Here is a 1,616-nt window from a genome sequence, read left to right as displayed (position 1 = left end):
ACACAGCAAGACTCCATCTCAAAAAAATATATAGAAAATTAAAAAAATTTTTTTTAAAAACTTTGCCAATGCCAATTTAAAGATGGAGTGGGGAAGGGTGATGAATAGGCAGAGCACAGAGGATTTTTAGGGCAGTGAAAACTCTGTAGGACACTATAATGATGGATACACATCATTATACATTTGTCCAAACTCACAGAATGTACAACACCAAGAGAGAACCCTCATGTAAATGATGTACTTTGGGTGATTGTGATGTGTCATTGTTGGTTCATCAATGGCAACAACTGCACCACACTCGTAGGGGATATTGATAATGGGGGAGGTCTACACATGTTGGGGCAGGGAGTAGATGAGAAATCTGTATCTTCCTTTCCGTTTTGCTGTAAACCTAAAACTGCTCTTAAAAAATAAAGTCCTTTTAAAAAATATATTTTTTTCATAGAGATGAGGTCTTGCAATGTTGCCCAGGCTGGTCTCAAACTACTGGGCTCAAGTGGTCCTCCTGTCTGAGCCTCCCAAAGTGCTGGGATTACAGGCATGAGCCACCACACCTGGCCTAAAGTCCTTTTAAAAAAAAAAAAAAAGCGCAAAAGGCTTGCACAGACACCACCAAATGAGACATCTGGATGATAAATAAGTACATGAAGAAATGCTCAACAATTGGTCATCAGGGAAATGCAAGTTAAAACCACAACAAGGAACCATCACACACTCACTAGAATGACTTTTTTTTTTAATTGACAGTTCCAAGTGTTGGTAAAGATGTAGAACAACTGAAACTTTCATACACTGCTGGTGGAAATATAAAATGGTACACCCACTTTGGAGAAATGTTTGACAGTTTCTTACAAAATTAAACACCATATCATCCAGTAATCCTACTCCTGGATATTTACCCAAGATAAACTAAGATATATGTCCACAAAAAGATATACTAGGATGTTTACAGGAGTTTTATTCATAATAGTAAAAAACTAGAAATAGCCCAAAGTCCATCAACAGATAAAAGGATAAACGGTGATATATTCATACAATAGACTTCTACTCAGCAATTAAAAGGAACAAGCTACTGATAGATGCCATGGCATGGATAAATCACATAGACATGCTGAGTCATAGAAGTCAGACACAAAAGACTACTGTTATGAACTGATTGTGTCCCTCGCAAAATTCGTAAGTTGAAATCCTTTCCTACAATGTGACTGTATTTGGAGATGGGGCCTTTAAAGAGGTAATTAAAGTTAAATGAAGTCAAAGGGCCAATAAGTCAAATCCAATAGGAACCTATTGAATTGGGGCTCTAACCCAATAGGACTAGTGTCCTTATAAAAAGAGGAAGAGACACCAAAGATGTGTGTGTCCTGAGAAAAGGCCATGTGAGGACACAGCCAGAAGACAGCCATCTGCAAGCCAAAGAGAGAGGCCTCAGAAGAAACCAAACCTGCCGACATCTTCATCTTGGACTTCCAGTCTTTAAAACTGTAAAAAATAAATTTCCATTGCTTAAGCCACCCAGTCTGTGGTATTTTTTGGCAGCTCTACCTGCCAAATACAACTACATATTGTACAATTCTATTTATATGAAGTTTTAGAACAGGTAAGGCAGATCAGTG

The 1,616-nt window shown here is 37.9% G+C and overlaps 1 annotated feature.

The window, feature by feature from the left end:
• Positions 559–759: a silencer, noted in NCBI's record as "peak5764 fragment used in MPRA reporter construct". NCBI's record gives its function as "represses an SCP1 promoter by STARR-seq MPRAs in K562 erythroleukemia cells {active_cell/tissue: K562}" and the evidence as "EXISTENCE:reporter gene assay evidence [ECO:0000049][PMID:32103011]".

Source organism: Homo sapiens, chromosome 6 (assembly GCF_000001405.40).
Source record: "Homo sapiens chromosome 6, GRCh38.p14 Primary Assembly".
NCBI lineage: Eukaryota > Metazoa > Chordata > Mammalia > Primates > Hominidae > Homo > Homo sapiens.
The sequence above is the reverse complement of the archived record's forward strand: the minus strand, read 5'-3'. Positions and strand labels throughout refer to the sequence as shown.